At 35.1% G+C, this 16,771-nt stretch overlaps 1 protein-coding gene and 1 pseudogene across 1 annotated transcript in view; one reads left to right on the forward strand and one right to left on the reverse strand.

Annotated features, from left to right (window-relative positions):
• Positions 1-16,771, reverse strand: part of GBE1 (1,4-alpha-glucan branching enzyme 1) — a 271,943-nt gene that overhangs the window by 6,446 nt on the left and 248,726 nt on the right. Inside the window, exon 15 of the mRNA NM_000158.4 lies at positions 2,962-3,079. Within this exon, the coding sequence (NP_000149.4) occupies positions 2,962-3,079 (118 nt within the window). The remainder of the gene's footprint in view (positions 1-2,961; positions 3,080-16,771) is intronic.
• Positions 13,328-13,516, forward strand: RNU2-28P (RNA, U2 small nuclear 28, pseudogene; annotated as a pseudogene).

The following is a 16,771-nucleotide window of genomic DNA, read 5'->3' on the forward strand; positions in this document are numbered from 1 at the left end:
TATGCTAAAATGGAGTTTCCAATAACTGCCAGTAAAGCAGACTGGCAGAGCTCTGCCCTATCGCTTTTGGACATTTGTGACATACTCTGACCTTAGCAAATACATTTCAATGGCGGTATACATGCAGTTATCCCCAGCTTCACAGTTTCAACTGAGGGAGCACACAGAGACAACGCTAGAACGGTACCTGCTGATGCTGCAGCATGTATGGCTATTTTAAGATTCCTTCGGGCTGTTTGTTGCTATCTTTGAAAACAGATTTGACACTTATTCAGCAGATCCTTTGGATTATTAAGCTTGCAAATTAAGCTTTAGCAAATGCTGTGTACTAGTTATGATGGGCAAAAATTTCATGGAAGAAGGAAAAGTTGCGTTTTGTTCTTCCTTCCTCCTTTTAGTCTGCAAGTATGGGAGGTATGAGTGATCTCACTGGAAGTGGTATAAGACCTACAGCACTTATGATCATGTTCAAGCAACTCCACTGGATCCCAGCACATATGACTCAGTTTAATAAGGAGTTCTCTTATAATGAAGCATTATTAGAATAGGTACATTTGTTAATGTGATTTTTCTTCCTCTGGCTCTTTGCTGAATAACTTAGGTAAAAAGAAAACCCGTTTGTCTAGATTTTCTGTATTTTACTCGTCTGTGTGGGCTCCCTTAATCTCACATTAAAACGAGTGATCTTATCATCTGGAGCCTAAAGGTGTATTTAAACGAGTAATTCCTGAAGCACTGTAGTCATCCAAAACAAGATGTTGCTGCTGGGAAGAGAGAGCTAGCCCTTATCTCACGGCTGTGTTGGATTACAATTCTGTTGCAGGCAGCATTCAGCTCTTTTCTGTTTCCCATGTCCTTGCAGTGCTGTCCTCCTCTATGTATTACTGATACTTATGAGACATTCTTTATTCTACCTGATAATTTACAACTGCATTTTCCACACTGGTGAGATCAATTCGATTAGTGATTGAAAAGTAATCTCCTGATGTTGCTGCCACTTGTTGGTTGGCTTGTTTTAATTATGCCAGCAGATCTTTACTCTCACAAAATTGAAAGGATGCCAAGATATTTTCTGCCCACCTCAAAAGAGTCTGAGCCGTCGCCTAAGAAGATCATCTCCCCAAAGCTGGGAGAAGGTATTCTTAATTGTGTGTCCTGGAAACACTTAGTATATTGACATGTTTAAACGACTGAACAATAATTGCCTCTCCATGACAAGTACAACTTTAAAATACATGTGCAATAGCATTTTACAGTTTCCAAAAAGCTTGGGCATGTTAAAGAGTTTCTGCTTCCTAAGAATCTCTTGCTGTAGGGAAGATAATATGAATCATCTTCATTTTACAGGTGGGGGAAACTGCAGTGCAAAAAAAGTTAAATTAATCAATTTCTCAGTGAGTAAATGGCAGACAAGGGTCAGGATTCCAGGTCCTGTGCCATGGCGTTTTGTGATCTTTTCACTATACCTTCAGGTTCTTCATAACAGAACCCTGTTGGGGTACACGGACATTTAGAAAAGCTGGCTATGTAAGAATTTTGCTGTCTGAGTCTTTCCAAGTCCTTTCAGTCTAGTTCCATCAGTGAAAGTTCAGTTTGCTTGCAATCAGTTGCTCCTTCCCAATGACTCCCCTTTGTGAGCTGAATCATCTTTCCTAACCCCTAAGGGCATCTAACTCTTTTGATTATTTCAGAACTTTATGGTAATATTCGTATTCACTTCCAAAACTATTTTTATCAAACTTATTTTACGTGTCAAAATTGAATGTTCTCACAGACTACAGTAATAATTCCTTTAAGAATGTGATAGCACCCTTGAGCCCTCTCTCTTAAAAATATATATCTTTCTCCAAATATATCTAAAGCTGTATCAGTGTCATCATCAACATACACCCATATGCACACACATACATTTAGGGCAACACCTAATTCTCATAGGACTTTCCACTGCACTTTCCTCACAACCCATAATCCAGCAACTCACTCTTTGTAATCCCTGCTCTTTTCAATGATTTTATGCTATGATCTTTGGCATATCACTTTTATATATAATATGGCAGCTTACAAAGTGGAGTGCTGGCATCACTCTGAGAAGTGGGAAAACAGTAGAAAGATGGAAGACCTAGGGGTACCACAGAGATCCTCATGCCTGACTCCTATCTAAACCTTTGAAAAGTGAGAGAATTTAATGAAATAAGAACTTTAACAGCTATGGTAAAGTCATGTATTTGTTAGGTACGTCCTAGAATTAGGAATGGTAGATGTGGTTTTGAACCTACTATATGGCCATAAATTAAATAATGAATTCCTCTGAATCTAGAAACTTACTAAATTCTACATATTTTAAAGAATTTAAACATAGTAGTTTAAAGCAACATTCTAACATTCTATTTGTGTGAACACCACAATGCAAAAATTAGTTATGTCATATAATGCTTCATTCAGTAATATAAAAAATCCAGAGAATTTTATAACTAGAATGAATTCAGCCTTCAATTTACTACATGAAAGAAAAGAAAGATACATTTTTCATTGACTCCTTTAAGGTGTTTTAAATTAAACTTCATCTGCTAGTCAATAATGTAGAAATCTGCTTAATATAAAATGTTATGGAGAAAACAAGAACAGAAGGAAAGTGAAATGTTGCATAAAGAATAGAAATGTTCATAATTGAAAGAAAAATAAAAAACTGCCTTCTGCTCATTTCTTGAGAAACAGTTTTGAATCCTATTAATATTTAATTTTTGCCAATTGTCCCCTAAATATCCTTTACTATTAGTTTTTCCAAAACCCAATTTTTACACACATTACATCTGGCCAAGCGTAGTCCCCTCTCCCTAACCCCTTTCCTTCATGCTTTTTTTCCATGTTGCTTATTTGAAGAGTTGTTTATTTGAACAAAAACATTACTATAATAAAAGAGTAAATTAAAATAGCAGGAAATATGTTGAGAAACTTACTTACCAAAAGAGAATAGGGACGCCCATTATGTTCAAAAGCCTCAGAAAAAAAGTCAGTGCTGTGGTCCAGTCTCTGATGCCCTCCATATTCCGCTGCATCTGAATCTAGCACAATTTTGAATGTACAGCTCTTAAGGAATTCACAACAGTTGAGGAGTTGAATGAGACATTGTAAAATACGTGCTGAGAGAGCAATTTAGAAGTGAGTTTTTGAGCAGTGTTAAATCATAATTTGTGCTAAGAACTCATTTCTTCTTTTATAGTTTTATGTCTGAAAGGGGCTTTATAGGCTATCTACTGCACACACTCATGAGATCCCTGTTATACTTCCATCACGACTCACAAGTGATCACCCAGCCTGGGACGAAACATACCTAATCTACTTTTCTCTTCAAGCAACCCATTCCACTTGTTATAAATTCTTCTCCATATTGAATAGAAATTTTGCTCCTTGAGATTATATTATTTCTACCAAGACAAGCCATAAAGAATAAGTTCAACATGTAGTCATCTTTTAAATATTTACTAATAGTTATACTATCTCCATGTGTCTGCTAGATATATTACTAAATACATACAGTCAGTCCTCCATATCTGTGGATTTTGCATCTGTGAATTGAATCAATTTCAGATAAAAAATATTCAAAAAAGAAATGCATCATTGCATCTGTACTGAACATCTGATTTTTCACAATAAGTTGTTAGATAGTATTAGCATATTACAGCAAAATTAATAAAAGCTATCATTATGTTCAAATTTATTAGGCTCAAAATGTCTAGAAATGGTACTTGATACAAAAATCTATAATTAAATATGCATTGGTACCTTAGAAATCTTGTTTCTTCTAGCCTAAGTAGAAATACAGATAATTTAAGTGCTTTTTGTTTTGATTTCCTGGAAAATATATCATTAATCTCAGAAATGTTAGTATATTATCATTACTGCAAACATTATCACATTAATAGAAACTGTGAGCAAGGAACAATGAGCCATCATTTTCAACCCTTGAAAATCTTTGTCTAAGTCAGAGATGAAGATGGACACGCTACAGAAACTTTTTCTAGTAGTGTTGCCTCCATTTTAGTCAATCCAGGTCAGCCTTCTCTAATTCAAACTGAAACTGATAATCAGAATATTACTGAGTTGAGAAAGAGAGAAAGACTGAGATGCAAATGATGACTACCAGGCACAGGGACATTTAAAGTCACTCAATATAGCTGAAAATGATTTCAGCCTACCAATATATTTAATGCTGAAATATGGATAATGAAAATAAATAATCAAAGACATGGCAAATAATGAAATATTGTGGAATTTAAAAAAAACTATTAACATAGAAGTTTAGCTTTTGTTCTTCAAAATACTTTGACAAATCTTCCAAAAACTAAAACAGTACAGTTTAGAGAGTAATGTTCTAGAATACTTTAAAAAACAACTGAATTAAAATACCAATTAATGAATTACTGGTTCACAACGTAGGCTTTTGATAGCAGTGGCTAAGTAAGGCAAGCATATCATCAAAAGCAATGGTTCCCAACCTAGGTGTTAAGAATCACTGACTGGTAGTCATGTTATTGTAAGTTCTCACTGAGTAAGTAGTTATGTTATTACAAGGGGTTGGGAATCTATATATGCATTAGGCATTGTCTAAAGACTAAACTATGTTGTTATACACGTTTGACACTGTATTTCAAAGAACGTACATGTTTTTACTATTAAAATGCAGATTATATTGTTCCCTTCTTTGTGTCCATGTTACTCAATGTTTAGCTCACACTTGTAAGTGAGAACATGAGGTATTTGGTTTTCCGTCCCTGCGTTAATTCAACACACACCAGGGCCTACTTGAGGGTAGAAGGCTGGGGGAGGGTGAGTATGGAAAAACTACCCATCAGGTACTATGCTTATTACCTGGGTGACAAAAAAATCTGTGCACCAAACCCCAACAACAGGCAGTTTGCCCAGTAACAAACCTGCACATGTACCCCCTGAACCTAAAAGTTAAAAAGAAAAAAGGAAAGAAACCATTAGACCCAAACATTTAATGTGCCTTTTACACAACGAATGATCAATTATGGGAATGTGACAAGACACAAGAGCTTGTGCCGGGGGCAGTAAATTGTGGGAAAACAACGAGGAAATATATGGGGGAAACTGATGGAAGACAGGGGTTATTTTAGTAGGTTTGTTTGTACAGGTCTGTTTCGGCATGGCTTCCCAATGTCTGGTGACGAGAATGTCCTCCTATTCCCGGCACAGGAAAGACAACTTTTTCACGGGCAATTTTATGATTTGCTTTTAGGTAGAAAGGAGGGGATCAAAGAGCTCTTTCTCCATCTCTTGTTTCTCAAACAGCTTCAGCTCAAAATAATCAATAAGCCAAAGTGGCATATTTTGGGGTAGCATGTTCTGAACCCGTTCCTAACCAAATTCAACTTCTCACTAATAGTAGAGATGATTATTTCCTCCTATGAACACTTTCATTTTAGTCACCTGAATTACAATTTTTAAAATGTTATAGGAAAATTATTTAAGGTTGCAAAACTAAAAGTAAGAATTCCCTCATTTACTTAGGGGCACTTTTTTTTTTTTTTTTTTTTTTTTTTTTTAAGACAGGGTCTGGCTGTCACCCAGGCTGCAGTGTAGTGGCACGATCTTGCCTCACTGAAACCTCTGCCTCCCTGGGCTCAAGCAATTTGTCCCACCTCAGCCTCTCAAGTAGTTGAGATCACAGACACAGACACATGCCACCAGACTGATTTTTATATTTTTCGTAGAGATGGGGTTTCACCATGTTGCCCAGGCTGGTCTCGAACTCTTGAGCCCAAGCAATCTGCCCACCTCGGCCTCTTAAAGTGCTGGGATTAATGAGCTACCATGCCTGGAATGCTTTTTTTTTTTTTTTCTCTTAATAAAGGAGAATGTTCTCAACAAAATTATTTCTCTGACACAGAATTAAATAATATTTAATCGTTATTTTCAATGTTATAGTAAAATAAAAATCATGTGTCCATCATTTTACATGCTTTTCCCACAATAAAGTACAGACTGAGCTTCACACACCAAAAAATGCAATTTTAAAGTCACAAAATTTAATAGTTTTTGTGTATACTTTTCTCAATCAAAGGACAGTAAAAGAACAATTGCTATACAAGGATTCATTTCTCTTTGACACTGAAAGAGATCATCATATTGAAAGTGTTAGAATCTACTTACTTTATATAATTGGTAGCCATAAAGGAAAAGCTTATGAAAGCCATAGAGAAAGTTTCAAAACATCAATTTAGACATGTTTCTCTGGCCTATAATTTAAAGAAAAAAATTTTCTGTGTCCAATTGTGCAATCACCCAGTTCTGTGTCTACATTGCCCAGGGAACACAATAGCTTCCTTTAGAAAATGTGGCCTTTAAAATCCAGAAATTTCTACAAATTTAAACACTAAGTGAAAGGTAATGCGTGTGAAAGAGCTTTATAATTGTGAATTGCTATCATATATTATTCAAGTATCAGGAAACTACATGTTTTAGGAATACTGCTTAGAATTAGAACAAGCCTTTTCAAGCAGGTTATTTGAGCAACTGATTTGTTTGTTTTACACATTCTCTCACTTGGGTACTCCCTCACTCTCTCTCATGTGCACACACATACACACAGATGCACACATATGTACATACATGATATGGGACCCACACAGCACCACAATTCCTACATCATCCTTTTTCTGTGAAAATTTATCTCTGAAAATATGACTCAAAGCCAATGTATACTTATTTTAAACTACCTTCGTTATATGGTTTCCAATACATAGCACACAAAATAAATTTAGCAGGACACCTTAAAAGGTCATCTGTTATCCATAGCTACCTCCCTATGCCTAGCAGAGGACCTTCTCCTAATAGGTTCCCAATTTCCCAATAAAACTTTGAAACTGATATTCAGAATGACAACACTGACTTACCAAGAAAAGCCAAATTACATATATTGTTTTTTATAATTGAGGAAAGTACAATAAATTATCTTTACTCCCCCATTCATTTACTAAGTACATACAATGTACAAGATATTGTGCAAGAAACAAAAATAAGGAAGACATGGTCTTCATGTACATGTGACTCACAGCCTGTAAAGGGAGATTAGGCATGCATATGAACATGCGTAAATAGAGCAAAAAGCAATATGCAATGAGAGGGAGAGTCAAGGAAGAAAAATATGAGGGACGAGCCATATATGAAGACTTTTGAAGGCTGGGTTAGGGTCTTAAGACTTATTTTATTAGTTAAGTGTGATAGTGTTTAAAATTCTTGAGAAAGTGTATCACAATAAAAAAAAAATTAACCCGGAGGTTGTAAACAGTATAAAACAGACGGCGGAAAGACTAAGTCGGGAAAAGCAGTCAGGAGTCTAACAACAGTCCAAGGATAGTTAAGTATGGCTAATCTCTGACTGTGGGAAAGGAGAGACATAGACTGAGTTTCAGAAGTACAAGTGACAGTATTCAAAAGTAAGGAAACTGAGACTGAATTAGGGAATCAGAAGTGGAAGGGAAGAGCAGTTGTGCCCAAAGGCAGACAGCTTGTTAAGTGGTAGAGTTGGGAGGTGCGCGTAAGTCAAATGTAGATCTGATTACTTTACTCTCTATATGCGGCACCAATTTTATGCCAAGAATACGGCAGTGTTTTCATATACAGTTTCTTGTTTATTTCTCAGGTTGAAATTCTTCATATTGTTATATTTGAGATAATTCATAAAGGAAAGAGGTTTATTTTGGCTCACAGTTCTGCAGACCATACATATAGGAAGCATGGTGCTGGCATCTGCTTTTGGTGAGGGCCTTAAGAAGCTTACACTCATGGCAGAAGGAGAAGGGGTCCAGGAATGTCACATGGCAAGCAAGGGAGCAAGAGAGAGCAAGGAGGAGGAGTGAAGCTCCTTTAAGCAACCAGCTCTCATGTGAGTGAGAAGTCACTTGTTACCATGGGGAGGGCATCAAGCCATTCATGAAGAATCCTCCCTCGTGTCCCAAACACCTCTACCAGGCCCCACCTCCAACACTGGGAATCACATTTCAACATGAGATCTTAAGGGGACAAATATCCAAAACATATCACATTCCAAGCATAAAGAGGACAGAATGAAAATGACAAGAGAAGAATAAAAATAGAAAAATCAGATAAAATGATATCCATCTAAATTACTGACATAATTAGATATACAAGATTGCCATTCCTAAAAGTAATGTTGAGGTCTGAATATCTGAGATTTACTATACTTGTTCTAGTCCATTTCTTATTTGGTCCATTTGATCATTTTATTAGTAAATACAAAACACTGGATCATAAAATTTACCTTGTTCAACTGGAAAAAAATACAGTGGGAAAAGAATGAAAATTTTTTAATAGTTTTTTTTTTTAAAGGAGATCAAATAGGTCCCTATCAGTTTGGATAGCATTTTAAAATATTATGATTTCTTATTTTAAATTCAAGAGCTTCCTAAGTATTTGATATATCTATCAACAGGTTGAAGTAGATAAGTTTTCAGCCATTATTTTATAATCCATGTCCTTAAATTTGAACCAAGGAAGAGCCAGTGTTCTGAAGGAGGCCTGTACTAATAAGATTAAAGAACAGTGAAGGCATGAAGACTCTTAAATTCAATGGCTCTTCAAATACTTCAAAAGCTGCTGTGTTTGCTCAGGCACTTGATAAAGTGTCTGTTCAAAGTATAAGGATTTTGATGTAAGAAGTACTATCATTTATATCATTCTGCACTAAACTCACTTCACTCCCACTGATGAAGCTAAGGAAATTTATTGTAAGGTACAACCCTTGAGGTTTCAAATTGAGTGACAAAAAGAAGAGTTCTCCAGTGACTAGACGACTATAACGATGGCAGAGCGGGTAAGTTACAATGTATCTTCAAATCTAAGACATCACCCATTTCAAGATGAATTATTTTATATATCTCTAATAAAGTGAAAAAATATCACTACCACATCAATATTGTAAGATACATTCCAACTGAAGACAGGCTAAAATGTGAAATAATGTAGGTTTTTGGAATATGAATTTAGCATGTTATTTTATATTTAATTCTTTAATCAATCCATTCATATTACCATGATTAAAATAATGCCCAGGAGCTAAGTGACCCCAGGAAAGAGAATTTATACCGAAGGCAGAAAATATCAGGTTCAAAATTCTAAGGAATGTTTTAATTAATGGAAATGTAAACAAATGTCTGGTAGGGTAAGAACAGTTGCTGAAAAGCAAGGAGAGTTTCATGATTTTAGTAGTCTGAAGAGATCTATACAGCACAGGGCTTGCCACAATGTTCCAACACAATCCTTCCCTTTTTATGTTACATGGATTGAATTTTATTTATTGCTGGTTGTACTCCAGAAAACCTAAGGTTATAGCTATCTAGCATCTCAAATAGATCTGTCCATTTATTTTATAAACATAGCCAAATTATGCCTACTTTATTGTCCTGAATCACAGAAAAGGCTATGAACTACAACTTTCAGTTTCTTTCTCTAGTCTCTTTCCAAATGCAGGAGTGGCAAAGACTTGTGATATATTACTACATAGATAATGTGCAGGTCTGTTAGTGTGTGGTGGAGGGGTGTCGTGGTCGGGGGGTGTGTGTCTATGTGTGTGTGTATTTGTGTATCTTATTTAGGTAATTCTATCTTTACTTCTGTGATCTAGAGTACACATTAAACTTAAGCAGTCATCATTAAAAATGACAGTTCTGCTAGCTAGCCATTTGTAGAAGACTGAAACTGGACCCTCCCTTACACCATATACAAAAATTAACTCAAGATGGATTAAAGACTTAAATCTAAAGCCAAAACTATAAAAACCCTGAAAGACACCCTAGGCAATACCATTCAGGACACAGGCGAGGGCAAAGATTTCATGACGAAGACACTAAAAGCAAAAACTGACAGATGGGATCTAATTAAACTAGGGAGATTTTGCACAGAAAAAGAAATTATCAACAGGGTAAATGGACAACCTACAGAATGAGAGACAATTTTTGCAAACTATGCATCTGACAAAGTTCTAATATTCAGCATCTATAAGGAACTCAAATTTACAAGGAAAAAAACAAACACACCAACAAAAAAGTAGGCAAAGGACATGAACAGACACTTTTCAAAAGAAGATATACAAGCAGCCAACAATCATACGAAATAAAGCTCAACATCACTGATCCCTAGAGGAATGCAAAACTACAAAGAGACACCATCTCACACCAGGCAGAAGGGCTATTATTAAAAAGTCAAAAAATAACAGATGCTGGCGAGATTGTGGAGAAGAAGGAACACTTAAACACCATTAGTAGGAAAGATATATTCCTACCAATAAATTAGTTTGAACATTGTGGAAGACAGTGTGGTGATTACTCAAAGACCTAAAGACAGAAATACGATTTAACCTAGCAATCTCGTTACAGGGTACATACTCAAAGGAAAATAATTCAGTCTATTATAAAGACACATGCAGGCACATGTTCACTGCAGCACTATTCACAATGGAAAAATCAGGTAATAAACCTAAATGTCCACCAATGACAGACTAGATAAAGAAAATGTGGTACACATACACCATGGAATGCTATGCAGCTATTAAAAAGCATGAGATCATGTTCTTTGCAGGGACATGAATGGAGCTGGAGGCCATTATCCTTAGCAAACTAACACAGAAACGGAAAACCAAATACTGCATGTTCTCACTTAAGCAGAGCTAAATAAGGAGAACACATGGATGCATAAAGAGGAACGACACACTCTGGGGCCTACCAGAGGGTGGAGGGTGGGAGGAGGGAAGAGGATCAGGAAAAACAACTAATGGGTACTAGGCTTAATATGTTGGTGATGAAATAATCTGTACAATGAACCCCCATGACACAAGTTTACCTATATGACAAACCTGCACTTGTACTCCTGAACTTAAAACATAAGTCAAAAAAAAATGAGAGTTCTGATATTTTAATTACTTTTCAAAACTATTTATGGCCATGTGACCTTTATGATTATATTTCTTTCAATGGAATATCCAGTTAGTTTTTTTTTTAATCTCCCTGACTTTAGCTTTTAAAAATCCCCCAATATTATAATATTTCTAAAATAAAATTTATAAGAAAGTAATGTGGAATTAAACAGAGAACTTGCCCGGGCGCAGTGGCTCACGCCTGTAATTCCAGCACTTTGGGAGGCCGAGGCGGGCAGATCACGAGGTCAGGAGATCGAGACCATCCTGGCTAACACTGTGAAACCCTGTCTCTACTAAAAATACAAAAAATTAGCCAGGTGTGGTGGCGGGCACCTGTAGTCCCAGCTACTTGGGAGGCTGAGGCAGGAGAATGGCGTGAACCTGGGAGGTGGAGCTTGCAGTGAGCCAGGATTGCACCACTACACTCCAGCCTGGGTGACAGAGCAAGACTCCGTCTCAAAAACAAACAAACAAAAAAACAGAGAACTTACTAGCGAATGTAATCAAAGCAAATTTTAAAATATAAAAAAGCCAAATGCAACTTTTTTCTTTATACATATATGTGTGTGTGTATATATATATGTGTATATATATATATTTGTTGTTATTAGATTACCTTAAAATTTTAATGACCTTGAAAAAAGCAAGATCTTCATGCATAAGCTAAATATGCATTCAAATGTGTGAACACTGTCTTCGTTAAAAGTTTAAATGACAACCGTACATTTTAATTAAGTGCAAAACAGAAGCATATTTCTATTATAGTCTAGGATGTGCTCATTTCTTCAACAAAAGGTTTCTGGTTTTACACTACAAAATAAACTCCAATCCCTGCAAGTATGCTTCTTCGGCCATACATTTTTAGAAACTGTACAATGCAAAATAGCAATAAGACAAGCTCAAAGGATGAGGGGCTCAAATGTCACTATCTACCAGGTTAATTATTGGATTACTATGCTTTCTGAAATGTATTTTCATGCAAATTATTAGTTTATTTTTAAGCATGCTTAATGACACACATCAGTAAATAGCAAATCAAATGGTAATACAAAATTTTGAGTACTACCTATTTCTCTATGTAAATAGGACATTTATTCTAAATACTTTACGGAATACTTCTGACTAACCTACTTAGAAACTTTTCTGTATCCTAGAAGATTATATAACTTAAACTAAAAAATGTCACTGTTTCTCAATAATTTGAGAAGGAAGAAAAATAGAAAAATGTGCTCACACTTCTGCACTAACCTCTCCCTAAAACTGCTGCTGTCTGTCTGTGCCTTTAGGATTATCCAAAGAACTTGTAAATTCAATTATCTGATGAAGCGATGGCAATTATTTAAAACTGAAAAAGAAAAAAATAACAGATTTTTATTCACCTTTTTAACCACATCTTTTATTATCAAAATGAGTTTACACCCTGCAGACTCAACACTTTTTTTAAAAAAAATTGTGCTTTTAAACTCAAAATAATTTTGATTCAGGCTATAAACACCTTCCCCCAAACAAACTTACTCTGGGAACAGCCTTCAATGCAGTCAAGTGCAATATAGCTAAATAAAAACATAATTGGAAACGGGGACGTCTCTGAAAAATAAAGACAATCATAAGCAGTAAGAAAGCATTATCTGAGCCATTTCAGGCAGAAAGACAGGGATAGGAGACAGCATTCTAAAACACTAAAATATGGTGAGTATCTCCATGAGCTTTAGGGTCTAACAACTGCATTCTAATTCCAGTCCTACCAATTGCTAACTGTGTGTCTCTGAGTAAGTTACTTACTTCCTGGAGGCTCAGTCTCTCATCTGTAAATGGAGGTAACACATCAGAGGGTGGGTGTAGAGATTAACTGAAGCAATCTATTACTGAGTGCTTAACACCCTATGTAGCACTGGGAAAAGTACTCAAATTACTAGCTGCTGTGGCTATTATTACTATAGACCCTGGCTCACTTAAATTGCTGTCTCAAGAGATGAAAAATATAAAAGTGGGTCTATTAATTCTTTATTTTACTTTTTATACTTGACTTGGCCTCTTCTTCCTTTATGATCTTTATTTCTATTCCTCTTTCTCTGTGTCTTTGTTCTCACTAGAATTTGCTATTTAAAAATTTTTACATTAAAGTTTAATCATACAGTACATAGAACTCTTTGAGGACTAGAGTCTTTTTTTAAATTTTAGGGTTTGTCTTTTTTTTTTTTTTTTTATAAAAAAGAAGGTACTTCTCAAGTTTATGAGAAATACTGAGAGAGCTTTTGGTGACAATCCTACCTGAAAATTAAATACCTACACACACTCTCCTGCACCTGCCTTGATTTTTCACCATAGTATTATCAGCTTTTAACATATTATAAATTTAATTATTACATTTTTGCTTCTCAGCCTTTTGGCTAAGATCAAGTGTAGTATCTGTTCTTATCAGTTGAATTTTTGTCTCTCACTATTAAAATACAATCTATATAAGAAATTCCTTTTTTTTCTCTGCCATATAGGACCTAGATTAGAATCTGGCATTTGAGTGAGTGTCTTTTCATTATTTTCCTTTGCAGTCTCCTCCTTGGGTTTTAATTTTTAATCTATGCATGTTTTTGCTAAACTTTGAGAAATAATTTCATACTACTTTGGTCATCAAAGACCAAACTTGAATTTTTCCCTTTGTTTCACAGAGTTAACATGTAAGATCTGTATAAATATAACTTCTATCACAATTCCATTTCATTATCTATAAAGTTTAACTTAGACATTTTAAAAGATTTCATATTCTTTATAAATTTATAACAGAATATTTATAATATAAAAATCCTTCATTTTGGATAATTTATAATAAATGCATGTTAGTTGGAAGCAATTAATTCTCAAGTTAACTATTCTGATTGGTATGAGCCTTGAAGAGAAACATTTTATATAATTCTTAGTTGACATGGATACATGATTCCAGGTTTATTCAAGTCAGCACAAACTCAAAGACTTTCCATATCTACTTTACTGGTTAGCTTTCTCTATAAAAATGACTGAACTTAAGCACAGAACATCAAAGGGGTTTGTCAAAATAATATATCTAATATTTTGGCAGGGCCAGAATATGCTCTTAGGTATAACAGTTTCTACCACTCTACCACCATCTTGCAGATAAAGCCTGCAAAGTGCATAAACTTTAATATATTTAAAATCTGGAAATCTGATTATTTTAGCTGTGGTGGTAGAAACATAATTTTTCTTTATTTGAAGTCTTAACTTACTTGGCGTAACATATAGTTAATGTATAGTCCTCTTTCTCTTTTAAGACTAGATAGAAAATCACAGTACAGGTCTCACTCAGTGCTTTAGAAAGCCGAAGAACAGGGGCTAAACTAGTGTCCCATGAAAAACTGTAAAGCAAAGCTTGCAGGTGTGCATATCTGCATCATCACTTCAGTCTTTCCTGAGCACTTCTGGGCACATAGCCCATAACTACATCAGATTAATTATTGTGAGGAGAAAGATTCAAAGTAAACATTTCCCCATATGCATTTAAAAAATTGGGTACATTTTATACTGTTTGGGTGATGGGTGCACCAAAATCTCAATCACCACTAAAGAACTTACTCATGTAACCAAACACCACCTGTTCCCCAAAAACCTATGGAAATAAAAAATAAAAAATAAGCAAAGGGAGTTTTAAACACACATGCACGGGGATATTTTATACAAACTTTCAGTTATAAGATGAATAAGTTCTGAAGCTGTAATGTACAATACAGTGACTACAGTTAATAATGTGTTATATACTTGAAATCTGCTGAGAGCTGACCGTAAGCATTCTCACACACACACAAGAAAATGGTCACTATGTGAGGTGAGGAATATGTTAATTAGCTTGATTGTAGTAACCATCTCACAAGGTATATGTATATCAAAACATCACACTGTACTTTAAATATAGATAATTTTTATTTATCAGTTATGCTTTAAAACAAAAATAAACAATGGGGAAAGGACTCCCTATTTAATAAATGGTGCTGGGTAATTGACTAGTCATATGAAGAAGAATGATAGTAGACCTCGACCTTTCACCATATACAAAAATTAACTCAAGATGGACAAAAGATTTAAATGTAAGAACTCAAACTATAAAAACCCTAGAAGAAAACCTAGGAAATACCTTTCTTGACATCAGTCTTTGCAAACAATTTATGGCTAACTCATCAAAAGCAACTGAAACAAAAACAAAAATTGACAAGTGGGACTTAAACTAAAGAGCTTCTGAACAGCAAAAGAAACAATCAACAGAGTAAACAGACAACATACAGAATGGGAGAAAATATTTGCAAGTTATGAATCTGACAAATGTTTAATATCCAGAGTCTTATGGAATTCATAAGGAACTTAAACACTCAACAAGCGAAAACCAAATAACCCCATTAGAAAATGGGCAAAAGACATGACCAGACACTTCTTACAAGAAGACATACAAGCGTTCACCAAACACATGAAAAAAATGCTCAACATCACTAATTATTAGAGAAATGCACGTCAAAACCACAATGAGAGACCGTTTTACACCAGACACAATGGCTATTATTAAAAAGTCAAAAAACAACAGATGCTGACAAGGCTGCAGAGAAAAGGGAACACTTATATACTGTTGGTGGGAAGTAAATTAGTTCAGCTCCCGTGTAAAGCAGCTTGTAAATGTCTCAAATAACTGAAAACAGAACTACCATTCAACCCAACAATCTCACTACCGGCTACATATCCAAAGGAAAATAAATTGTCCTACAAGAAAAAAAAAAAAAAGACATATGCACTTGTATGTTTATCACAATACGATTTACAATAGGAAAGGCAGGGAATCAACGTAGGTGCCCATGAATGGTGGATTGGATAAAGAAAATGTGGTATATGTATGCCATGGAATGCTACACAGCCATTGAAAAGATGAAACCATATCTTTTGCAGCAACATGGATGTAGCTAGAGGTCATTATCTTAAGTGAATTAACACAGGAACAGAAAACCAAATACTGCATGTTCTCACTTATAAGTGGGAGCTAAACATTGGGTACACATGAACATAAAGATGGAAACAATAGATACTGGGGATTACTAGAGCCGGGAGAGTGGGATGGAGGCAGTGTCTGAAAAAATACCTACTGGGTGCTATGCTCACTACCTGGCTGATAGGATCATTCACAACCCAAAACTTCGCAACACACAAACAAAAACAAAAGCAAGCAAACAAAAGAACCTCATGTAACAAACCTGTACATGTATGCTATGAATCTAAATAAAAGTAGAACTTAAAAAGATATATATACATACAGCTGGAAAAAATTTTTCCACTAACATTCATCTGTGCTTTTGAGTGTCAGAAACCAGGATGGTATTACCCTGCAGAAAAACATTTAGTCAAAGGCATCATTAACCTCTACAAATATAAATAGAGAAAAAAACCAAAATTAGTGAGACACACTTCATGTACTTCAATGGCATTTCTAGAGGGCAACAAAAAGATGAATTATCTGGTGACCAAATGTAAAACTGTACTGAATTTAGAGAAACTAGATTTAAATCACATTTATTCAATGACTAGAAATACGACCTTGTGAAAATTATAAATCTTTCTGATCCTCACATGTAGATTGAGGACAAAAAATGCTTGCCTAACCAGTATCACTGGAGATGATGTGAGGATAAGATGGGTTAATGTAAGTAAAAGTATTCGCATATTGTAAATTGCCATGCAAATTTAACTTTTGGTACTAATTTTGATCTCTTAAAATAAGCTTGTATTTCAGACACATGATTCATACGACTAATTAAATTCTCATAAAAA

The sequence above is a fragment of the Homo sapiens genome, chromosome 3, assembly GCF_000001405.40.
Source record: "Homo sapiens chromosome 3, GRCh38.p14 Primary Assembly".
Taxonomy (NCBI): domain Eukaryota; kingdom Metazoa; phylum Chordata; class Mammalia; order Primates; family Hominidae; genus Homo; species Homo sapiens.